Here is a 24,012-nt window from a genome sequence, read left to right on the forward strand (position 1 = left end):
CCAGCTCATCCCCAAGTCCCAGACCCACCTTGGGGCTCTCCCTCGAGGCATGGGCTCTGGTTTACTGGTGACTCTATCACCTGCTGAGAAGATATTAGAAGTGATCGTTCCACACCTTTCCTCCCAGTACAGTGTAGGTTAAGATCAGGGCTTGGAAATCAGACAGATCAGGGTCCCAGCCCCTCCTCTTCTTAGCTGAATGACCTCGAGCAGGTGACTGGCCTAGTCTCCATGTGCTTCTCTATCAAATCGAGCTGATAAAAGTTGTGGAGAGAATGAAATGAAGTACTGCACCGAAAGCACTGGGCAGTAAGGCACTTGCTCAATAAATAGGAGCTACCATGCCTGATTCCCAAGCCCCAAGGCTGTAAAAACAAGTTCTAAGCAACTATGAAAAAAGAAGAGAAAGGCCAGGAGAGGCTGGACAGGGACAGGGTTTCAACCACCCTGTGATAAATCATGGAAGACCAGAAAGGCCATGCAGCCTAAGGAGATGAAAGAGCACTAGATTAGGAGTCTAAGGACTTGAGTGTGATTATACTTCTGCTGCTCCTGATTATGCCTGTGACCCCAGGCTCACAGGTCTCACATCTTTTATTTTTCTTTTTCTTTTTTATGACAGAGTCTCGCTGTGTCACCCAGGCTGGAGTGCAGTGGTGCAATCTCAGCTCACTTCAACCTGCGCCTCCTGGGTTCAAGTGACTCTCCCACCTCAGCCTCCTGAGTAGCTGGGACTACAGACATGCGCCACCATGCCTGGCTAATTTTTGTATTTTTTAGTAGGGACGGGGTTTCACCATGTTGGCCAGGCTGGTCTCGAACTCCTGGCCTCAGGTGATCTGCCCATCTCAGCCTCCCCAAGTGTTGGGATTACAGGCGTGAGCCACTGCGCCCAGCCCTCTCACATCTTTTCTTTTTTGAGATGGAGTTTCACTCTTGTTGCCCAGGCTGGAGTCCAATGGCGTGATCTCGGCTCACTGCAACCTCTGCCTCCCAGGTTCAAGTGATCCTTCTGCCTCAGCCACCCGAGTAGCTGGGACTACAAGCGTGCGCCACCACACCAGGCTAATTTTTGTATTTTTAGTAGAGATGGGGTTTCTCCATGTTGGCCAGGCTGGTCTCAAACTCCTGACCTCAGGTGATCCGCCCACCTCGGCCTCCCAAAGTGCTGGGATTACAGGCATGAGCCACCGCGCTCAGCCTCACATCTTTTCTTTAAGCCTCAGTTTGCTCACCTGAAAAGGGCACAGTGCTCTTTCCTGCTTAAAATACTTCTGTGGCTCACCTGTGACCTTTAAGACAAAGTCCAAACACCTCTGTTTTGCAAAGCCCTGTGTGACCTGGCCCCTGCTGTCCTCTCCAATACTTCTCTCCTGACTCTTCCTCAAGTTCTGTTCTTCAATAAATTGAGCTACTTGCACTCCCTCAAGGGGACCAAGCACTTTCTTGCCTCTGAGTCTTTGCCTGTCATTCTCTCTGCCTTCAGGTTCTTCACTCATCTTTGTTGACCTCCTTCAGGAATCACTTCCTCCATGAAGTCTTCCATCCCTCTCTTGCCAAGGCTAACTTAGATGCCCCACAGAATTCTGTGTTTATAAGCCTTTCAGAGCACCGATTATGGTGGTGCAATTGTTTCCTCCCAGGAGATTATAAACTCCATGAGGGCAGGGAATTCCCAGGGCCTATGTGGCACTGGGCCCAGCATACAGTGGGTGGTCAATAAGTGTTTGGGAATCAATAAGTCAATGAATGAATGGAGGTCTTCCTCAAAGTGCTTTGGAAAGAGGACAAGAAGGCAGACTGCTCCTTGGAGCATCTGGCTTCTTGGGTGCTGGCTCCACGCTTTTACCACCTATGGAGAAAGGGTTCAAGGTGGGTACTGGCCATGGCTAGCCCAGGTGCCCTCAGGCTTCACCTTGCTCACCTCTAGCTCCCGCAGTGCCCTTCCCAGCTGGCTTAGCCCACTGTCCGTCAGGGTGTCCTCAAGGAGGCCTAAACGCAGGGGCCTCAGGCCAGCCCGGCGGGCCCGAGCCTCTTCTACTGCATCCCACAGGGTGGGCCTCACCTGTTTCACCTGCATCCTCCTTCCTGAGGCCCCCAACAGAGCAGCCTGGAGCAAACTGAGGGAGCTACCTAGTAAAGGGACACTCCAAGTGAATTACTCCTTCCTGTGGACTCCAAAGCACGCTGCTTGTGATACTTTTACTTTTTATTAGTAGTACTATTCATAAAAATATCTAACTCCCACTAGACTTTTACATATGCTTGATGGCACTTCACTAAGGCTGTTCATGGATTGCCTCTTTTTATCCACACAACACTCCAATCAGGCAGAAGCTCTAATCTATCCTGCCTCCCCCGACATTTTCCAGATGAGGCAATAGAAGCTCAAAGAGGTCAAGCAACTTCTTGGCAAGTGGCAGAGCCTAAACTCAAGCCCATGCCCTTCAACATGATACCAAACTGGCCTGAAGATAAACACGTCTGGCCCTCACTGCTTTATCCTTGTGGGTGTGAACTGCTGTAACCTATCTTCCTCATTCCAAGGGACCTCCCACAGCGGAGGTCTGGGAACTTGCTAGCCAAATGAATGTGGGTTTGTTGATTTTGGAGATGAGGGCCAGACATTTTTTTACTCTTTTATTATGGAAAATTTCAAACATATACAAAGTATAGGAAATCCTGTCTACCTGTCACCTAGCTTTGACAGTTATCAACTCATGCCATTTCTGTTTGATCAATACCCCCACCTCGACCTCCCCCAAATCCCTGACATCATAACATTTCAGAGGCTTGATTTTTTTTTCTTTTTTTCCACCAGCATCTACATTAAGGACACAGAGGCTTTGTTTTTTTATTTTTTATTTTTTTGAGATGGAGTCTCACTCTGTCGCCCAGGCTAGAGGGCAGTAGCACGATCTTGGCTCACTGCAACCTCTGCCTCCCAGGTTCAAGCAGTTCTCATGCCTCAGCCTCCCAAGTAGCTGGGACTACAGGCACCTGCCACCATGCCCAGCTAATTTTTGTATTTTTAGTAGAGATGGAGTTTCACCATGTTGGCCAGGCTAGTCCTGAACTCCTGACCTCAGGTGATCTGCCCACCTCAGCCTCCCAAAATGCTGGGATTGCAGGCATGAGCCACCACACCCAGCTGAGGCTTGATTTTTAATGGGTGTATGAAAATAGGAGACTCCCTTCTCTTCTCTTATCCTCTCTATTCTCATCTATAAATTAGGCCTGCCTCTCTTTCCTTATTTGTAAATTATATCTGCCTCATGGGGTTGTGGTAAGAATCAAAGGCATTTGTGCAAAAATGCTTGGTAAGTGGTTTAAGGTCTCTGAAGGGTGAGGGGTTACTTTCACTATTGACCTTACTTTGCCTCTCCAGTCTCTGTCAGCCTAGGCACTCTGGGGCCCTCTTGGAGGGTCAGACGCTCTCTCTGGGCTGAGGTTGGGGCTGAGGCCGGTTGCGTGATGGGTGAGGCAGGCCTAAGGACAGATCTCAGAGCTTCCCAAAGAACTCCACACTCTCCCCCTGGCCACCTTGGGGGTCCAGGCGAAGAAGTAGGCCACTGTAGTTGTTTCCTTCCAAGAGCCATGAGACAATCCAGGGCAAAGAGCCCTCCGCCTCCTCACCAACAACTTCACCAGCCAACACCCGCAGCAGGGGGCAGTCTCTGCAAGAGGGAGAGGAAGAAAGGCGACGTCCACTGGTGGATGGGGAAAGAAACTGGACAGAGTTACACTCTGATGGAAAGGGCAACTATTTCCAGAAACTTTTGTGTATCACCAGACAGATTTGAAACATTGTACAGATCTTTATTTTATTACTATTATTTTTTAAATTACAAAAGTAATACATTCTCCATGGGCATGGTGGCTCACACCTGTAATCCCAGCACTTTGGGAGGACGAGGCTGGCGAATCACTTGAGGTCAGGAGTTCGAGACCAGCCTGGCTGATATGGTGAAACCCCATCTCTATTAAAAATACAAAAATTAGTCAGGTGTAGTAGCACACGCCTGTAATCCCAGCTACTAGGGAGGCTGAGGCAGGAGAATTGCTTGAACCCAGAGAGTGGAGGTTTCAGTGAGCCAAGATCACACCACTGCCTTCCAGCCTGGGCAACAAAGTGAGAGTGTGTCTCAAAAAAAAAAAATTTTTTTTTAAAAGAAGTAATAGATTCTCATGGTAAAAAATTTAAATTGTGTACCTGACAAGTGACTTGTACCCAGAATATATAAAGAGCTCTTACAACTCAATAATAAAAAGACAACCCAATTTTAAAATGGGCAAAAGAAGATGACATCAGTGAAAATGGCAGAGTAGGGAACTCCAAGAGTCCGTTCATCCCCAGAAACACCTAGCAAAAACAGCCAGAAACAACCTTATTTTAACTCTGAAAGATAGAGGTTTACAGCAACCAATGCTTAACCAGGAGAAAGGCAACTTAAATATGGTAAGAGATCTCTGTGGTGTTTTAACTTACCCTAGCTCCAACCCCTCCCCAGCACAGGGCTAATCTTGAAGACAGCAGCCCAAATTTCTGGTGGGGGTTCCTGGTTAGGGAGGGAGCAGAGAAGATCTTGATCCCAATGAATTGTGTTTATCTTTTTTGACTGTCTGGAATTTCCCTTGAAGAACTGATGAAAGGGAATTCTCTTTGCTTCACGAATCTCAGAACTCTCTCAAGGCAGAGCAGCTACACAGAGGATGTTCCCTGAAAACTGCTAAAGAACAAAAGAACAAGGAACTGCTGCCTGAAGCAAAAATAACAGTTGAGGCAAACAACTGATACCCTGAAAGACTGGGAAAAGTTTGGAAGTGATATTTTTGGGAGAATAAGGGCTTCAAAAAGTTCCCATGTGTACTAGAGAGAGCAGAAAGCACACCCAGGGTAGGACTCATGTGCAGAAAAGGCCCAATAAGACAATAAGCTTTCATCTCTGTCTGGTCTTTGGGCTCAGCACAAGCAGGAAGTGAAGGCTAAAACAGAGCTGTAAATTGCCTGGCTAAGCTTAGGAGTGACTCCACACAGAGCCAATCTGCAAAGACCTAGAAAATTCTTTCTTTTTCTTTTTTCCTTCCTTCCTTCCTTTGTTTTCTTTTTCGTATTCTTCTTTATTCTTTTTGTTTCTTTTTTTATTTGTTTCTTTCTTCTTCCTTTTTAAAAAACAAAACAAAACTTTTTTTTTAGTCGCAGGCATTTAAGGAATTCTATGTTAGGTCACTGGCTGACTACTAAAATAACAAAATGAAGCCTTCAGTGAATACAAAGAATACAGTCTTCAAAAAAAAAAAAAACCCACAAAGATAAAGAGAGAATCTTGAAAACAGCAAGAGAGAAGCAGCTTATTATGTGCAATGGATCTTCAATAAGACTAAAAACAGACTTATCCCCAGAAACCATGGGATAACTTAAAGTTGGCCCTTTATATCCATAGGCTCTGCATCTGTGGATTCAAGCAAGCATGAATCAGAAATATTTGGGAGAAAAATGGTTTTGTCTGTACTGAGCATGTACAGACTTTTTATTGTCATGATTCCCTAAACAATACAGTATAACAATTTACATAACATTTACATTGTATTAGGAATTATAAGTAATCTAGAGATGATTTAAAGTATGTGGGAGGATGTACATAGGTTATATGTGCAAATACTATAACATTTTATTTTTTATTTTTATTAGTTTTGTGTGTGTGTGTTGTTGTTGTTGTTTTCCTTTATAGATAGAGTCTCGCTCCATCACCCAGGCTGGAGTGCAGTGGCATGATCTCAGCTCACTGCAACCTCCACCTCCAGGGTTCAAGCAATTTTCCTGCCTTGGCCTCCCCAGTAGCTGGGATTACAGGTGCCCGCCACCACACCCAGCTTATTTTTATATTTTTAGTAGATAACGGGGTTTCACCATGTTGGCCAAGCTGGTCTCGAACTCCTGACCTCAGGTGATCCACCCGCTTTGGCCTCCCAAAGTGCTGGGATTACAGGCGTGAGCCACTGTGCCAGGCTAATTTTCGTACTTTTAGTAGAGACGGGGTTTCACCATGTTGGCCAGGCTGGTCTCAAATTCCTGACTCCAAGTGATCCACCCTCATTGGCCTCCCAAAGTGCTGGGATTACAGGTGTTAGCCACCACGCCCAGCTATTTGTATTAGTATTTTTTTTAGACAAGGTCTTGCTCTGTTACCCAGGCTGGAGTGCAGTGGTGTGATCATGGCTCACTGAAGCCTTGACCTCCTGGACTGAAGCTATCGCTTCAGCCCCTCAAGTAGCTATTATTATTATTTTTTGCAGTCTTTTTTAATTTTTATTTTTTTGTAGTGATAAGATCTCACTATGTTGCCCAGCCTGGTCTCAAACTCCTGGGCTCAAGCAATCCTTCTGCTTTGGCCTCCCAAAGGCTGGAATTATAGGCATGAGCCACTGTGCCTGGCCCACATCATTTTATATAAGACACTTGAATATCTGTGAATGTCGATATCTGCAGGGGGGTCCTGGAACCAATCCCCAAAAAGATACAAAGAGACAATGGTATTTAAAGTGCTTTAAAAAATCCTGCCAATCAAGAATTATATATCTGGCAAAACTATCCTTCAAAAATGAAGGCAAAATTATGACACTCCCAGATCAATCAAAGCTGAAGTAATTCATTGTTAGTAGACTTGCCTTACCAAAAATGCTAAAGGGAGTCCATCAGCCTGAAATGAAAGGACACTAGACAGTAACTTGAAGCCATATAAAGAAATAAGGAACAATAATAAGGTTCCTACATGTGTAAATATAAAAGCCCATAATATTGCATTTTTGGTTTGTAACTCCTCTTTTTTGCCTATATGATTTAAAAAACAAATGCATAAAACAATAATTGTAAACCTATGATAATGGGCACACAATATATACAGATATAATTTGTGACATTAGCAACATAATGGGAAAATATGCAGATGTATGGGGTAAAATCTTTATAGATATTGAAGCTAAATTGGAATTAATTCAAGCTGGATTGCTATGTGGTTTTTGTTTTGTCTTTTTTTGTTTGTTTGTTTGTTTGTTTGTTTTTAGATGAGGTCTCACTATGTTGCCCAGGCTGGTTTCAAACTCCTGGGTTCAAAAGATCCTTCTGCCTCAGCCTCCTGATTAGCTGGGATTACAGGTGCATACCCTTGTGCCTGGTGAGACTGTTTTAAATTTAAGATATTAGCCGGGCGAGGTGGCTCACGACTGTAATCCCAGCACTTTGGGAGGCTGAGGCAGGCAGATCACGAGGTCAAGAGATCAAGACTATCCTGGCCAACATGGTGAAACCCCATCTCTACTAAAAAATACAAAAATTAGCTGCGCTTGTAGTCCCAGCTACTCTGGAGGCTGAGGCAGGAGAATAGCTTGAACCCAGGAGGCGGAGGTTGCAGTGAGCTGAGATCACACCACTGCGCTGCAGCCTGGAGATAGAGCGAAACTCTGTCTCAAAATAAATAAATAAATAAATAAATAAATTAATTAATTAAAATACATTTAAGATATTAATTGTAATCTCCAAGATGGCCACAAGGAAAATAAGTGGGGTTTTTTTGTTTTGTCTTGCTTTTTTAGACAGGGTATCACTCTGTCACCCAGGCTAGAGTGCAGTGGCACGATCATGGCTCACTGCAGCCTCAACTTTCCAGACTCCAGTGATCCTCCCACTTCAGCCTCCTGAGTAGCTAGGACCACAGGCCTGTGCCACCATGCCTGGCCAATAGAAAAATAACCGTTAAAAATATGGAAAAACCCCTGTTCACTTTGCCAAATGGATTTGTGTCTTTATTGCTCATTAATTGGGGCAAAGGAAATATCCTTTTAAAACTCAGGCAAACTGAGTGTTTGTCTTGTATCCTGTCAGAGGAAAGAAATTGAAAAAGAATAAAAAGGAAAAAAATATCAAAAAGGTAATGCGAAAAAAATCAACACAGCACATTGCAAAAAATCAATTAAATACAAAAGGCAATATTAGAGGAATTAAGAAACAAAAATATATAGCCAAATAGCAAGATGGCAGGAGTTAGTGTTTGTTATCAGTGATTACTTTAAAGGTAAATGGAATAAACTCCCCGATTAAATAATAGAGTTTGGAAGAATAGTTTTTTTTTTTTGGTTGGAAGAATAGATTAAAAAAAAAACCCTTAATTTATCTATGTGTTGTCTACAAGAGACTCATTTTATTTTCTTTATTTTTTTAAGAGACAGGGTCTCACTGTGTTGCCTAGGCTGGAGGTACAGTGATGTGATCATGGCTCACTGCAGCCTCAACCTCCCAGGCTCAAGTGATCCTCCTGCCTCAGCCTCCAAGTAGCTGGAACTACAGGTGTGTGCCACCATACCTACTTATTTTCATTTTTTTGTAGCTATGGGATCTTACTATGTTGCCTAGTCTGGTTTCAAACTTCTAAACTCAAGTGATTCTTCCACCCTGGCCTCCGAAAGTGTTGGGATTACCGGCATGAGCTGCCGTGTCCAGCCAAGACCCACTTTAGATCCAAAGACACAAATAGGTTAAAAGTAAGAAGATGGAAAAAGATACAAAAGAGTCTGTGGTGGCTATATAAGTATCACACCAAATAGACTGTAAGTCAAAAATTGTTACAAGAGACAAAGAAGTATATTATATATTCATAAAAGGTTCAATTCATCAAAAAGATAAAACAAATATAAACACGTATGCACCTGACAATAGACCAAATATGTGAAGCAAAAATGGACAGAAATGAAGGGAGAAATAGATAGTTCTACAGTAATAGTTGGAGACTTCAATACTCTACTTTCTTTTCTTTTCTTTTTCTTTTTTTGAGATAAGATCTCACTATATTGCCCAGGCTGGTCTTGAACTCCTAGGCTCAAGCAATCCTCCTGCCTTAGCCTCCTGAGTAGTTGGGAATTACAGGTGCATGCCACTACACCCAGCTTCCCCAGTTTCAGTACTAAGTAGAACAAGTAGACAAATGATCAATAAGGAAGTAGAGGACTTAAGTAATACTAAACAATTTAGACCTAAGAGACATGTTTAGAACACTCAATCCCAAAATAACAGAATACACATTCTTCTCAAGTGCTTGGAACATTCTCCAAGGTAAACCATATGCTAGGCCACAAAGCAAGTGTCAATCATATTTAAAAGTTAAAATCACACAAAGTATCTTCTCTAGCCATAGTGGAATAAACTAGAAATGAGTAACAGAAGAGAAACTGGAAAATTCACAAATATGTAGAAATTAAACAACCAGTGGGTCAGAAGAGAAATCACATGGAGAATTAGAAAATACTTTCAGAGAAATGAAAACAAAAACACAACATATCAATACTTATGTGATGAAGCAAAAGTAGTGCTTAGAGGGAAATTTGTAAGTATAAACATCTACATGAAAAAGGAAGCTCTGAAACCAATAATTTAACTGGACACCTCAAGGAACTAGAAAAAGAGAAAAATAAACCCAAAGCTAATAGAAGAAAGAAAAGAATAAAGATCCAAACAGAGATAAATGAAAAAGAGAATATAAAATAATAGAAAATCAATGAAACCAAAGTTGATTCCTTGAAAAAAAAATTTTAAATGAACAGGAGTGGTAGCTATGGAGCCGCTGGAGGAGAAAGAAATGCAGGTTGCTGCATGGTTAAAATAAATATTTGGAGATCATCCCATTCCACAGTATGAGGTGAACCCACGGACCACAGAGATTTTACATCACCTTTCAGAACCCAACAGGGTCCGGGACAGGGATGTCTACCTGGTAATAGAGGACTTGAAGCAGAAAGCAAGTGAATATGAGTCAGAAGCCTATAGTATCTTCAAGACCTTCTCATGGATAGTGTGAATTTTTCCCCTGCCAATTTCTCTAGCACTGGTTCCAGGTATCTGAATGCATTGGTTGACAGTGCGGTGGCCCTTGAAACAAAGGATACCTCACTAGCTAGTTTTATCCTTGCGGTGAATGATTTGACCTCTGATCTCTTTCATACCAAATCCAAAGGTGAAGAAATCAAGATTGAACTGGAAAAACTTGAAAAAAATCTAACTGCAACTTAATATTAGAAAAATGTCTACAAGAGGATCTCAAGAAAGCAGAGTTGGATCTGTCTACAGAAAGGGCCAAACTTGATAATCGTCATCAGAACATGGACTTTCTAAAAGCAAAGTCACAGGAATTCAGATTTGGAATCAAGGCTGCAGAGGAGCAACTTTCAGCCAGAGGCATGGATGCTTCTCTGTCTCATCAGTCCCTAGTAGCACTGTCAGAGAAACTGGCAAAATTAAAACAGACTATACCTTTGAAGAAAAAATTTGAGTCCTATTTAGACTTAATGCCAAATTCCCCTCTTGCTCAAGTGAAAATTGAAGAAGCAAAGTGAGAATTAGATAGCATTGAAGCTGAACTTACAAGGAGAGTAGACATGATGGAACTGTGACAAGAGCCAAATAAACATCCTTTTCCCTAACAAAGTAAATTGAATAGTGCTTTATAGAGTTCTTTTTCCTCTTGGCATTTCTTAATAACAAAATTTTCTGTTTGTAGATTACAGAATGTCATAATTAATAGAATATGGTTTCTTACTGTGTATTGCATTTTTGTCCCCAAATACATAGTTTTCATATTAAAAAGGCTTTTCTTTCTCTCTTTTTTTTTTTTTAGTTGGAGTCTCGCTCTGTCACCAGGCTGGACTGCAGTGGTGCGATCTTGGCTCACTGCAACATCCAACTCCCTGGTTCAAGCAATTCCCCTGCCTCAGCCTCTTGAGTAGCTAGAATTACAACCATGCCACCACACCCAGCTAATTTTTGTATTTTTAGTAGAGAAGGGGTTTCACCATGTTGACCAGGCTGGTCTCGATCTCCTCACCTTGTTATCCACGCACCTTGGCCTCCCAAAGTGCTGGGATTACAGATATGAGCCACTGTGTCCAGCCAAAAAGGCTTTTCTCTTTTAAAAAATTTTAAAATGGACAAACCTTTAGCTAGATTGACTAAGAAAGACAGAAGATTCATATTACTAACATTAGAAATGAAAGTGAGGGCATTGCTACCAACCTTACAGAAGTAAAAAGGATTACAAGAGAATGCCACAAACAATTATATACCAACAAATTAGAGAACTTAGATGAAATGGACAAATTCCTAGAAACACACAAATGATCAAAACTGACTCCAGAAGAAATAGAAATTCCGAATAGACCTATACCAGGTAAAGAGATTGAATCGGGCTGGGTGCAGTGGCTCACGTGTGTAATCACACTTTGGGAGACCGAGGCGGGTGGATCATGAGGTCAGGAGTTTGAGCCCAGCCTGACTAACATGGTGAAACCCCAACTCTACTAAAAAAAATACAAAAATTAGACAGTCATGGTGGTGCGTGCCTGTAATCCCAGCTACTCAGGAGGCTGAGGCAGAAGAATTGCTTGAACAAGGGAGGTGGAGGTTGCAGTGAGCTGAGATCATGCCACTGCATTCCAGCCTGGGTGACAGAGAGAGACTCCATCTCAAAAAAAAAAAGAAAAAAAAAGCGAGATTGAATCAGTAATCAAAAACCTCCCAACAAAGAAAAATCCAGGACCAAATGGCTTCAATGGTGAATTCTAGCAAACAGTTGAAGAATAAGTAACACCAATTCCTCTCACACTGCTCCAAAAAATGGAATAAGAAGGAAGACTTCCTAACTCATCCTATGAGACCAACATTGCCCCAATACCAAAACCAAAGACAACACAAGAAAATAAAATTACACACCAATATTCTTTTGAATGTAGACTCAAAAGCTCTCAACAAAATACTAGCCAATGGAATCCACTGAGTATTAGAAGTATACATCATGACCAACTGAGATTTATCCCAGGAATGCAAGGGTAGTTCAACATGAAAATAAATCAATATATAATATACCACATTAATAGAATGAAGAAAAAATATGATGATCATTTCAACTGATGCAGAAAAGCCTTTGACAATATCCAACATCCTTTCATAAGAAAATGCTCAACAAAATAGGAATAGAAGGGAAATTTCATAACATGATTAAGGGCATATATAGAAAAACCCACAGCCGATATCACAAGCAATGGTGAAAGACTAAAATCTTCCCCCTCAGATCAAGAACAATATAAGTATGACTACTATCACCACTGCCATTCAACCTTGTATTAAAAGTTCAAGCCAGAACAATCAGGCAAGAAAAAGAAACAAAACTATTGAAATAGGAAAGGAAGAAATAAAACTATCTCAATTTGCAAATGATATAATTTTATATACAGAACATCCTAAAAAATCCACATCCAAAAAGAACTATTAGAACTAATAATCAAATTCAGTAAAGTTGCAGAATACAAAATCAACACGCAAAAATCAGTTGTATAGCCGGGCATGGTGACTCACGCCTGTAATCCCAGCACTTTGGGAGGCCGAGGCAGGTGGATCACGAGGTCAGGAGTTCAATACCAGCCTGGCCAAGATGGTGAAACCCCGTCTCTACTAAAAATACAAAAAAATTAGCCAGGCATGGTGGCAGGGGCCTGTAATCCCAGCTACTCAGGAGGCTGAGGCAGAGAACTGCTTGAGCCCAGGAGGCGGAGGTTGCAGTGAGCCAAGATCATGCCACTGCACTCCAGCCTGGGCGACAGAGCAAGACTCCGTCTCAAAAAAAAAAAAATCAGTTGTATTTCTTTTTTCTGTTTTTTGAGATAGGGTCTAGCTATGTCACCAAGGCTGGTATGCAGTGATGTGATCAAGGCTCACTGCAGCCTAGACCTCCCATGTCAGCCTATTGAGCAGATGGGAGTACAGGCATGCACCATCATGCCCAGCTAATTTTTTTATTTTTTTGTAGAGATGAAGTCTCACTATATTGCCCAGGTTGGTCTCAAACTTCTGGGCTCAAGCAATCCTCCCAGCATGGCCTCCCAAAGTGCTGGGATTGCAGGCATGAGCCACAGTGCCCAGCCGAAAATACTTACTTTCCATACACTAGAAATGAACAGTCCAAAAAGGAATTTTTTTTTTTTTGAGATGGAGTCTCACTCTGTTGCCCAGGCTGGAGTGCAGTGGTGGAATCTCAGATCACTGCAACCTCCACCTCCTGGGTTCAAGCGATTCTCCTGCCTCAGCCTCCCAAGTAGCTGGGACTACAGGCACCTGCCACCACACCCGGCTAATTTTTTATTTTTAGTAGAGACGGGGTTTCACCATGTTGGCCAGGCTGGTCTCGAACTCCTGACCCCAGGTGATCCACCCACCTCGGCCTCCCAAAGTGCTAGGATTACAGGTATGAGCCACTGCTCTTGGCCAGGAATTTTTTAAATTCCACTTATAATAACATCAAAAATAATAAAATGCTAAGAAATAAATTTAACCAAGGAAGTGTAAATCTTATACCCTGAAAACTGTAAAACACTGCTGAAATAAAGAGAACCTAAATATATGAAAAAACAGCCTGTGCTCATTGTTCATGAATTGGAAGACTTCATATCATGAAGATGACCGTATTCCCCAACAAATCTAGAGATTCAATACAATGCCTATCAAAATCCCAATGGCCGTTTTTTTTTTTTTTTTTTTTTTTTTTAGAAATGGAAAAGCCAAATCCTAAAATTCCTATGGAATTGCAAGGAGCCCTGAATAGCCCAAACAATGTTGAAAAAAAGAATAAAGTTGAGGGCCGGGCGTGGTGGCTCACGCCTGTAATCCCAGCACTTTGGGAGGCCAAGGTGGGCGGATCACGAGGTCAGAAGTTCGAGACCAGCCTGACCAACATGGTGAAACCCTGTCTCTACTAAAACTACAAAAATTAGCCGGGAGTGGTGGCGTGCGCTTGTAATCCCAGCTACTCAGAAGGCTGAGGAAGGAGAATACTTAAACCCAGGAGGCAGAGGTTGCAGTGAGCCAAGATCACGCCACTGCACTCCAGCCTGGGAAACAGAGCAAGACTCTATCTCAAAAAAAAAGAAAGAAAAGAACAAAGTTGAAGGACTTACACTTTTCCATTTCAAAGCTTACTACGAAGCTACAGTAAATAATATAGTGTCAGGCTGGGCCCAGTGGTTCACCCCTGTAATCCCAACACTTTGGAAGGCCAAGATGGGAGGATAGCTTGAGCCCAGGAATTTGAGACCAGCCTGGGCAAAGTAATGAGACCTTATTTCTACAAAAAAAAATTTTTTTTAATTAGCTAGGTGTGGTGGTGTGTGCCTGTGGTCCCAGATACTTGGGAGGCTAAGGCAGGAGGGTCACTTGAGCCTGAGAGGTCAAGGCTGCAGTGAGCCTTGACCGCATGACTGCATTCCAGCCTGGGTGATGGAGGGAGACCCTGTCTATAAAACAAAATTAAATTAAGTTAAATTAAAACAGTATGGTATTGCCATGAAGATAGCCTTTGACAAGAACTGACACCTTTTCATGATTAAAAAACATTCAAGAACGTAGAAATAAAAGAGAAGTTTCACAATATGGTAAAGGCTATATAAATCAATGTAATATCATTGAGCGTCGTGACATAAATCCATATATATGTGGCCAACTGATTTTTGACAAGGGTGCCAGGACCAGTCAATTGGAAATAATAGTCTCTTTAGCAAATGGTGCTGGGAGAACTGGAGAGAATGAAGTTGGACCATTACTCCATACTAATACAAAAAATTAACTCAAAATGGATCAATGACCTAAATGTAAGAGACAAAGCTATAAAACTATTAGAAGAAAACCTAGGGGTGAATCTTCCTGACCTTGGATTTTGCAATGGTTGCTTAGGTATAACACCAAAAGCATGAGCAACAAAAGGAAAAACAGATAAATTGGGCTTCATAAAAATTTTAAAGTTTAGTGTATCAACGGACACTATCAAAAAAGTAAAAAGATAGCCAGGCAGGGTGGCAGGCACCTGTAATCCCAGCTATTTGGGAGGCTGAGGCAGGATAATTTCTTGGACCCAAGAGGCAGAGGTTGCCAATGATGCCGTTGCACTGCAGCCTGCGCAACAAGAGCAAAACTCCATCTTAAAAAAAGAAGGAAAGAAAGAAAGTGAAAAGATAACCTACAAAACAGAAGAAAATGTTTGCAAATCACGTAGCTGATAAGGGTCTAGTATACAGAATATATAAAGAACTCATAACACACAAGAAAGACACAAATAACCCAATTTAAAAATGGGCAAAGGATTTGAATAGACGTTTCTCCAAAGAAGATCTAGAGATGGGCAACAACCACATGAATAGATGCTTAATATAACTAGTCATTAGGGAAATGCAAATCAAATAAAAATGAGATGCCACTTCAAAACCACTAGGTTGGCCATAATCAAAAACATGGAAAATAACAAATGTTGGTAATTATGGAGAAGTTGGAACCATCGTACATTGCTGGAGGAAATACAAAATGGTGCAGTGCTGTAGAAAGCAGTGTGGTAGTTCCTTAAAAGTTAAACATAGACTTACCATATCCATATGACCCAGCTATTCCACTCCTAGGTAAATACCCAAAATAATTGAAAAGAGGTATTCAAACCAATACTTGTACATGAATGTTCGTAGCAGCACTATTCACAATAGCCAAATGATGGAACTAGATAGTTCCACAACATTGTGAATGTACTAGGAGTCACTAAATTGTACATTATAAAATGGCTAATGGTTAATTTTATATTATGTGGACTTTACCTCAATAAAGACAAACATACAAACAACTTTTAAAACAGTTACCATATGACCCAGCAACACCACTTCTTGTTATGTGTCTGAGATAATTGAAAACACATGTCTAAATAAAAACTTATATGTGAATGTTCATAGCAACATTATTTAAAATAGCCAAAAGTGTAGCTAGGCATAGTGGCTCATGCCTGTAATCCCAGTGACTTGGGAATCTGAGATGGGAGGATCGCTTGAGGCCAGGAGTTTGAGACTAGCCTGGGCAACAAAGTGAGACTACATCTCTAATAAAGGGAGAAAGAAAGAAAAGAAAAGATGGCCAGGCATGGTGGCTCATGCCTGTAATCCCAGCACTTTGGGAGGCCGAGGCAGGCAGATCATTTGAGGTCAGGAGTTCGAGACCAGCCTGGCCAACAATGAAACCCCATCTCTACTAAAAATACAAAAATTAGCTGGGTGTGATGGTGGGTGCCTGTAATCCCAGCTGCTTGGCAGGCTGAGGCAGGAAAATCACTTGAACCTGGGAGGCAGAGGTTGCAGTGAGCCGAGATCATGCCATTGCACTCCAGCTTCGGTGACAGAGTAAGACTCCATCTCAAAAAAAAAAAAAAAAAGAAAGAAAGAAAGAAAAGAAAAAAAATATATAGTAGCCAAAAGTGGAAACAATCCAAATGCCCATCAACGGATGAATGGATAAACAAAATGCGGTATATCCATATAATGGAACATTATTTGTCAATAAAAAAGAATAAAATTCTGATTCACACAAGTGGATAAACCTTGAAAATATCCTAAATGAAAGAAGCCAGACAGGAAGACCACATATTGTATGGTTCCATTTACATGAAAAGCCCAGAGTAGCAAATCTACAGAGACAGAAAATAGATTAGCGATTGCCTTGGGCCGGAGTGGATGGCAGGATGAGGAATGCTTGGAAATGGAAACGGGTTTCCTTTCTGGGGTGATGAAATGTTCTAAAATTAGATAGTGCTCATCAGTGCACAATGTTGTGAATATACTAAAAAACCACTGAATTGTACATTTCAAAAGAGTGAACTTTAGGGTGTGTAAATTATATGTTAATAAAGCTGTTATTTTTTTTTTTAAAAAAAGAAGCATACATGATAAAAGAAAGAAAAGACTTTATAATAGTTGGGAATTTAGGGTACATTTTCCCCTTCTGTTTTGTTTTACTACAATTTGTTTTCAGGCACTTCTGAATTTGGCAACATTTCCATGATATTACAAACACGCAAGCTGGTTCGAAATAACTATTTCCTATCATTACTTCATATTTTCATAACTTTAGAGCACTGAGTAAAGGATGTAAAGTGGGGCTTGAAGATATGATTTTTGGGGAATTTCCCAGTCTTGGCTTTGAACATTTAGTTTCTTTCCAAGTTTTCAATCTGATAGATCAGAAGAGATATAAGTAGCTGAAAAGGAATTAGTAATGTAAAAATAAAAAAGTGGTAAATAAAAAAGTCTGAAAAATCAGACAAAAATGCTTGAAGACGCTATTTGCAAAACTGTCCCTGGTGTATTAATCTGTGATTTCTTACCCAAAGTAAGATTTTTCTTTGCTGTTATTTTACTATCATTTATTGGAGTCTTGAAGGGCCTAAAATGTATACATTATTCCTTCTAACAGCAGCATCCCCTTCTAATTTGTGAGTGTGTTGGCCAGGCTTTAATTAGAGAGGAAGAACCAGTGTTTTTCATATATATACAAATTTGTTAAAGGAAATGGCTTACAAGATTGTGGGTGCTGGCTAAGCAAGTCCAGAATCAGGAAGGTCATGGGCACAGACCACAACTATTGTCTGTGGGCAGCCAGGAGGGAAGAGAATGAGCAGAATGGAACTCCGCAGGCACAAGTACAGCAGATGCCACTGCCCATGGATGGAATTTCTTTTCTTTTTCAGGGAAGCTTCAGCTTTTAAGGCCTTTTTAGACTTCTGCTTTTAAAGCTTTTCAACTGATTGAATTGGGCTCACCCAGATCTTTCAGGATACTCTTAATATCCATCACATCTGCAAAATACCTTCACAGCAGCACCTAGCTTAAATAACTAGAGACTGTCACTGAGCCAAGTTGACATGTACACACACACACACACACACACACACACACACACACACACACCATTACAGTGGGTTTACCAGTAAATTTCTTCACCAGTTTCCCATAACTGGGCATTTGGTTTACATTCTTGTTGTTGTTGCTGTTGTGTTTATAGACTTATTTCACATTATACTTACAGAAGCTTCTGTGGGGATTTTTTAGTTTATGGATAAGGACATCAGGACAATCAGTTACAGTAAACTGCCTAAGCTGTTCTCTTATGCTGTGTACCCTTAAGAATAAAAGAAATTTTGTTCTTTTTCTGAATCGTTGTCACAGATGGGATGTGCTCTGTGGAAGCTTAGGAACATCTAAGCTACTGTAATGTACTCTTGCTTAAGTCATTTAAAGATGGACAGAGGTGCTGAGAACTAAGTAAATATGACAATAAGAAGCGGGAATGGTAGGGCCTTAGGTGCCCACCTGCAGACTAGAGTGCTCCGTAGGGCCAGGCTGTGCCCCGAGCACATCTGGGGTGTATGGCCGGTGTCTGATACACATCTCAGAACACAGAGTGGAACAGAAGAGAATCAAAAAGCTGCTTCACCTTCAGCAACAATACATGCCAGTGTTGCTTTTCCATAGGAATAAAAAGTGATGAATCTAAAATTACATGATATTTTGCTGTAAATAGCAGCTATTTTTATTATCTGCTAATAATAGAATGAAGATAAAATACATTTAACTTTTGCATTAAAAAAAATGTCCCTGGTGCACTTATCAACATATGAAAAAAAAAACAGTGGCTGGAAATATTTATTTATTTATTTATATTTTTTGAGACTCACTCTGTCACCCACGCTGTAGTGCAGTGGTATGATCATGGCTCATTGCAGCCTCAATCTCCTGGGCTCAAGCCATCCTCCCACCTCAGCCTCCTGAGTAGCTGGGACTACAGATGTGTGCCACCATGCCTGACTATTTTTTTTTGGTATTTTTTGTAGAGATGGGGTTTTGGCAGGTTGCCCAGGCTGGGAAATATTTATTTTTATTTATTGGTTTCACTAACTCTCTATCCAGTTGCTTTTGACCACATCATCTGCCAACAACGGGGCTTAACTTGTGTTCTGGGATGCTCTTATTATGGGGTTGAGGAGAGGAGAGACTTTGATGCTACCTTGGGCCTTTCCATCTGTAATTCAACTCCCCACCTCACCCTTCAATGCAGTCAGAAGGCCCCCTCAGACTTACGGGGCTCCTGGGAGCTGTAGGATCCGTAGAGCCCCTTGCCACACACGCTGGGTCCCGGGCCCCTCAGGAGGGTCAGGCCCTGGGCAGGACATGGTGAGAGTGAGCAGACAGCAGGCCCTGTGGAGGAAAGGGTGGACTCAGGCCAAATGCCTAGCGGGGATGGGGTGACAGATACTCTCCTGCCCTCACCTGCCTTCACCTGCGGTGGCCTGCAAGTACAGCTCTGAGGCAGCTTTTGAGTCAGACACCTCCACTTCAGTGGCATCTTCTACCACCCTGGAGGAAGCAGAGGCTGAGCTCAGCTCCGAAGCACCAGGGTTCTGTCCAGACCCCCAGAACCTCCATGTGGGGAGCCCTTGGAGGTCCCCATAGCCTATAACCTCCCTAAACATTTCTCATCCTCATGATTTTATTTTCCCTCCTGTGAACAGGGTAGTTGAGATCACTCCCATTTTCAGATGGAGAAACTGAAGTCCTGCTCAGTGAGATGCTCAAAATCACCCAGTGTGACAATGACTGAGTCAGGACATGGGGCTGGGGAATAGAGTTGAGGTGGTGTAAGTTGAAGAGTTGTAAGTGGGGTGAGGGGAGTGAGAGGGATGGGCACATAAGATTAAGGAAGAGGGTGGGAGGGGATCCTGAGAGCAGCCCCTGACCCTGTAAGCATGACCCCAAGCTCAGAGCTTTCTTCCCCTGGGATGGCAGTGGGTGGAGACCCCCAAAAGCTCGGCTTCAGGGAGGCAGCCATGCCTTAAGACAAGCACCCTCAGACTCCACTGGGCCCTGAACACTCACAAGCCCAGAGGGGACACGTCCAGCACCGACAGGTTCTCCACCCCTGGAGAGAGCAGGTCCTGGGTCCTTCCACTGGGGCTGAACTGGGGTCACACAAGCACACTTGTTACAAACTGAACCTTTCCCTACTTTCAGCTCACATGATCCTCCTGGGGTCCAAACATGGCACCATGAATTCAGCCTTTTTGCAGTCAGAGGAGAGGAGACCTCAGAGAGGCACGCCCATGCCAGTGAGCAGTAGAGTGAGACTGGACACACACTCTCTGGCTCCCCACAAACCTCGGGCTCCTTCTGCAACATTGCCCTGGCCCTGGTTCCCAGGTCCCACTCTCTCCCCTCCCTCAAGGGTCTCACCTGCACCAGGCTAAGAGTGCTAAGCACAGGATCAGAGCAGCTGAGGGGCAGAGCTTCTTCAAACAGCATCTGCAGCAGCTAAAGTGGAGAAGCGTTCAATGAGGATTAAGAAAGCATGAATCTGTCCTTCAGCATTTCCTGAGCATGAAGTCTGAGTCATGCCCCATACTACTGGGGACATGGTATCCAGGAGAGAAATAGCACCAGTCTTCTTCTTCACAGCAAGCCAGAAAGTGAGCAGACATCCTCAGTGGGATCTGCTGTTTGCTGCACAGGGATCCACGACAAGTTCTGAGGCAGCTATTTTGGTTTGGGGGCATTTTGACGAAGCCCCCACAATAAAGCTTCCAAGCTTATAATTAGTATTCACCATGAACTGTGAAAATCAGATCTCCCTGGATATTTGATCTTTTCATGCCACCCCTCTCTAACCCTCACCCTATCAGCCCATCTTCCTTTATTTTATTTTTTAATTAAAAAAAAATTTTTTTGTTTTGCCTTTTTTTTTTGGTATACTTTTGGCTTTATTTCCAGCTTTTAAAAAAAATTTTATTATTATTACACTTTAAGTTTTAGGGTACATGTGCACAATGTGCAGGTTAGTTACATATGTATACATGTGCCATGCTGGTGTGCTGCACCCATTAACTCGTCATTTAGCATTAGGTATATCTCCCAGTGCTATCCCTCCCCCCTCCCCCCACCCCACAACAGTCCCCAGAGTGTGATGTTCCCCTTCCTGTGTCCATGTGATCTCATTGTTCAATTCCCACCTATGAGTGAGAATATGCGGTGTTTGGTTTTTTGTCCTTGCGATAGTTTACTGAGAATGATGATTTCCAATTTCATCCATGTCCCTACAAAGGACATGAACTCATCATTTTTTATGGCTGCATAGTATTCCATGGTGTATATGTGCCACATTTTCTTAATCCAGTCTATCATTGTTGGACATTTGGGTTGGTTCCAAGTCTTTGCTATTGTGAATAGAGCCGCAATAAACATACGTGTGCATGTGTCTTTATAGCAGCATGATTTATAGTCCTTTGGGTATATACCCAGTAATGGGATGGATGGGTCAAATGGTATTTCTAGTTCTAGATCCCTGAGGAATCGCCCCACTGACTTCCACAATGGTCGAACTAGTTTACAGTCCCACCAACAGTGTAAAAGTGTTCCTATTTCTCCATATCCTCTCCAGCACCTTGAGCTGTGGTGAGCTCCACCCAGTTCCAGCTTCCCTGCTACTTTGTTTACCTAAGCAAGCCTGGGCAATGGCGGGCGCCCCTCCCCCAGCCTCGCTGCCGCCTTGCAGTTTGATCTCAGACTGCTGTGCTAGCAATCAGCGAGACTCCGTGGGCATAGGACCCTCCGAGCCAGGTGCGGGATGTAATCTTCTGGTGCCCCGTTTTTTAAGCCCGTCAGAAAAGCGCAGTATTGGAGCGGGAGTGACCCGATTTTCCAGGTGCCGTGTGTCACCCCTTTCTTTGACTAGGAAAGGGAACTCCCTGACCCCTTGCGCTTCCCGAGTGAGGCAATGCCTCGCCCTGCTTTGGCTCACGCACGGTGTGCTGCACCCACTGTCCTGCGCCCACTGTCTGACACTCCCTAGTGAGATGAACCCGGTACCTCAGATGGAAATGCAGAAATCACCCGTCTTCTGCGTCGCTCACGCTGGGAGCTGTAGACCTGAGCTGTTCGTATTCGGCCATCTTGACTCCCGAAAAACGCCTTTTTTTTTTGAGACGGAATTTTGCTCTTGTCGCCCAGGCTGTAGTGCAATGGCATGATCTCGGCTCACTGCAACCTCTGCCTCCCAGATTCAAGTGATTCTCCTGCCTCAGCCTCCCAAGAAGCTGGGATTAAAGGTGTCCGCCACCACGCCCAGCTAATTTTTGTATTTTTAGTAGAGATGGGGTTTTGCCATGTTGGCCAGGCTGGTCTTGAACTCCTGACCTCAGGTGATCCACCCACCTCGGCCTCCCAAAGTGCTGGGATTACAGGTGTGAACCACCACGCCCGGCCCCTTCCCACCTTCCATGACCTCCCAGTAGCTGCATAAATTGACCTTGGCAAAACATCTTGCGGGGACCAACAGGATGCTTGCTGTAGGAGCCCCAGTGAGGGCTGATGTGGGGAGGGAAGATTCTCAGAAGTCTCCGGGGAAGGTAACCCCTGAGCTGCATGAGGCCTGCGCCCTGGTGGCTCCTCTGGGACTCACCTGAGGCACAAGTCGGGGTGCCTCTGTTTCCCTCCCCCGGAGCAACAGGGCCACACTGTACCCTCGGCCCAGAGAGCCCAGTGTGGATTGGACACGTGCCAGCAGCTCCTGCTCTGCCTCCTGCAGGGACACACAGGCACAGTCCACTGACTCAGGTGCCCTGAGCAAAGGAGCTCTGGAGGCAGCTGGCACTCCAGGATCCAGGGGCCTGAGGGCTCCCACCCTCCTCTCATCACCCTCCCAGACCTCCCTACCTGAGCAGCATCAGGGCCCAGGACTGTCAAAGGTGAAGTTTTGTTCCTGTGGGCAGGGCTGGGGTCAACCATGATATTCCCATCTTCCCCTGCACTCCCCGCCCCACTCCCCTCCCCCCCACCCCCCACCCCAACACACACACAACGCCCATCCACCTGAGTCTCTAGAGTCCCAAAATGAAGCAAACAGAGGTTTGTGGGCCCCACCAGGTGTGTGGGGCTACAGCTGTCCTCAGGGCCTGAGAAAGGTAGACTGCATATCAGCTCTCATGAGGAAAACTGGCTCTGGGATTCCTGAGTTCTGCCCTCAAACTTTGCCTCAGTTTTCCAACCTAAGGTGGCCTAACCCTCCCCCTCTTCCAAGAGGCTGTCCTGGACTGCATTCCTTCTGAGTATAAATGGGGAGGGCATCTTACCTGAACCCCTCCCCGACTCCACTTCTACCACCACGGTCAGCATGGCATGTGGGTTGGGAGAGACCATGAGGGCCCCTCAAGGAGGCTGAGTTGCCTGGGCCAAACCAGCCCCTGCGCTCACCACCTCTCCACAGTCCATGCCCTCTATGCCTCTCAGCTTCCCCTCAATAATTCATGAATCTCATCTGAGGGCTAGGGAGGGGTGGATCTGGACCTCGTAACCTACTAAGGGAAGTGACATTCCCTTCTCTTGTGAGAGAACACTGCATAAGTTTCTTTTATTTTTTTCCTTTTATGAAAACTTTCAAACATGTATAACACTGGAGAGAATAGTATAATGAACCTCCAGGTACCCAGCTTCAGAAATTACCAAATTCTGGCCAGTCTTACTTCTTTTGTTCTCCTCCCATCCCCAGCGGATTATTTTGAAGCAAATCTCAGACATCCCAGTATTTTATCCATAACTAGTTCAGTATACCACAGTTAATTTTAGAACGTTTCCATCACTTCATAAGGAAATTTGGTTCCCTTTAGCTATTGCCTCCCTAACCCAAGCCCACTGCACCCTCCAACCCTAAGCAACCACTCTTCTATTTTCTGCCTTTACAGATTAGCCAATTCTGGACATTTCATATAAATAGAATTATACACTGTGTGGCCTTTTGTGTCTGTTTTTTTCCATTTAGCATTATATTTTCAGTGTTCATCTACGTTGTAGCATGTCTGAGTACTTCTTCCCTTTCTACTGTGGATAATGTTTCATAATAGAGTTCTGTCACCAACCTCCTGGAGTTTGGCCAAGTTTCACCATAAAGGGCATTGTCCTCCGTGAGACTGCACTTCTGAGAACAGTCTCAAGTTAAGAGGTCCCCAGGCCTTCCTCACTCCAGATGTCTACAGGTTTTGGTGTTCCACTACTCCTTCAGGCTTGACAATTCACTAGAACAGCTCGCAGAACTCAAGTAAATGCTACAGTTACTGTGTCTGACACTAATTC

At 43.5% G+C, this 24,012-nt stretch overlaps 1 protein-coding gene, 1 non-coding gene and 1 pseudogene across 2 annotated transcripts, besides 2 other annotated features; 2 read left to right on the forward strand and 1 right to left on the reverse strand.

Moving 5' to 3' along the window:
• Positions 1 to 2,845: 2,845 nt before the first annotated feature.
• LOC112267855 (uncharacterized) lies at positions 2,846 to 23,163 on the reverse strand. The gene is made up of 9 exons (XM_024446282.2): positions 23,016 to 23,163; positions 22,600 to 22,645; positions 22,346 to 22,465; positions 21,754 to 21,895; positions 20,125 to 20,202; positions 19,771 to 19,853; positions 19,165 to 19,251; positions 18,976 to 19,092; positions 2,846 to 3,677 (listed from the first exon to the last, which is right to left on the reverse strand). The coding sequence occupies exons 2-9, from the start codon at positions 22,608 to 22,610 to the stop codon at positions 3,503 to 3,505; spliced, it is 813 nt and encodes a 270-aa protein (XP_024302050.1). The 5' UTR covers positions 22,611 to 22,645; positions 23,016 to 23,163; the 3' UTR covers positions 2,846 to 3,502.
• LOC124900208 (small nucleolar RNA SNORA27) lies at positions 7,768 to 7,893 on the forward strand. The gene has a single exon (XR_007059157.1). It is a non-coding gene; the product is annotated as a small nucleolar RNA SNORA27 (small nucleolar RNA).
• On the forward strand, positions 9,594 to 10,642 carry HAUS1P1 (HAUS augmin like complex subunit 1 pseudogene 1; annotated as a pseudogene).
• Positions 21,026 to 21,975: an enhancer, noted in NCBI's record as "H3K27ac-H3K4me1 hESC enhancer chr5:139972510-139973459 (GRCh37/hg19 assembly coordinates)". NCBI's record gives its function as "activates a minimal SCP1, AML or CMV promoter by ChIP-STARR-seq in naive H9 embryonic stem cells {active_cell/tissue: H9 hESC(naive)}" and the evidence as "EXISTENCE:reporter gene assay evidence [ECO:0000049][PMID:30033119]".
• Positions 23,665 to 23,959: a silencer, noted in NCBI's record as "tiled region #15063; HepG2 Repressive non-DNase unmatched - State 23:Low, and K562 Repressive DNase unmatched - State 9:DNaseU". NCBI's record gives its function as "represses a minimal TATA promoter and a strong SV40 promoter by Sharpr-MPRA in HepG2 and K562 cells {active_cell/tissue: HepG2 | K562}" and the evidence as "EXISTENCE:reporter gene assay evidence [ECO:0000049][PMID:27701403]".

The sequence above is a fragment of the Homo sapiens genome, chromosome 5 (genome assembly GCF_000001405.40).
Source record: "Homo sapiens chromosome 5, GRCh38.p14 Primary Assembly".
NCBI lineage: Eukaryota > Metazoa > Chordata > Mammalia > Primates > Hominidae > Homo > Homo sapiens.

Bases quoted from the DNA above. Each gene is read 5' to 3' on its own strand.
- LOC112267855 (XM_024446282.2), bottom strand. The intron at 20,203-21,753 runs GTACCGGGTTCA...TCTCCACTTTAG, and splicing joins TTTCTGCATTTCCATCTGAG to CTGCTGCAGATGCTGTTTGA. The intron at 19,252-19,770 runs GTGAGTGTTCAG...TGCTTCCTCCAG, and splicing joins GACGTGTCCCCTCTGGGCTT to GGTGGTAGAAGATGCCACTG.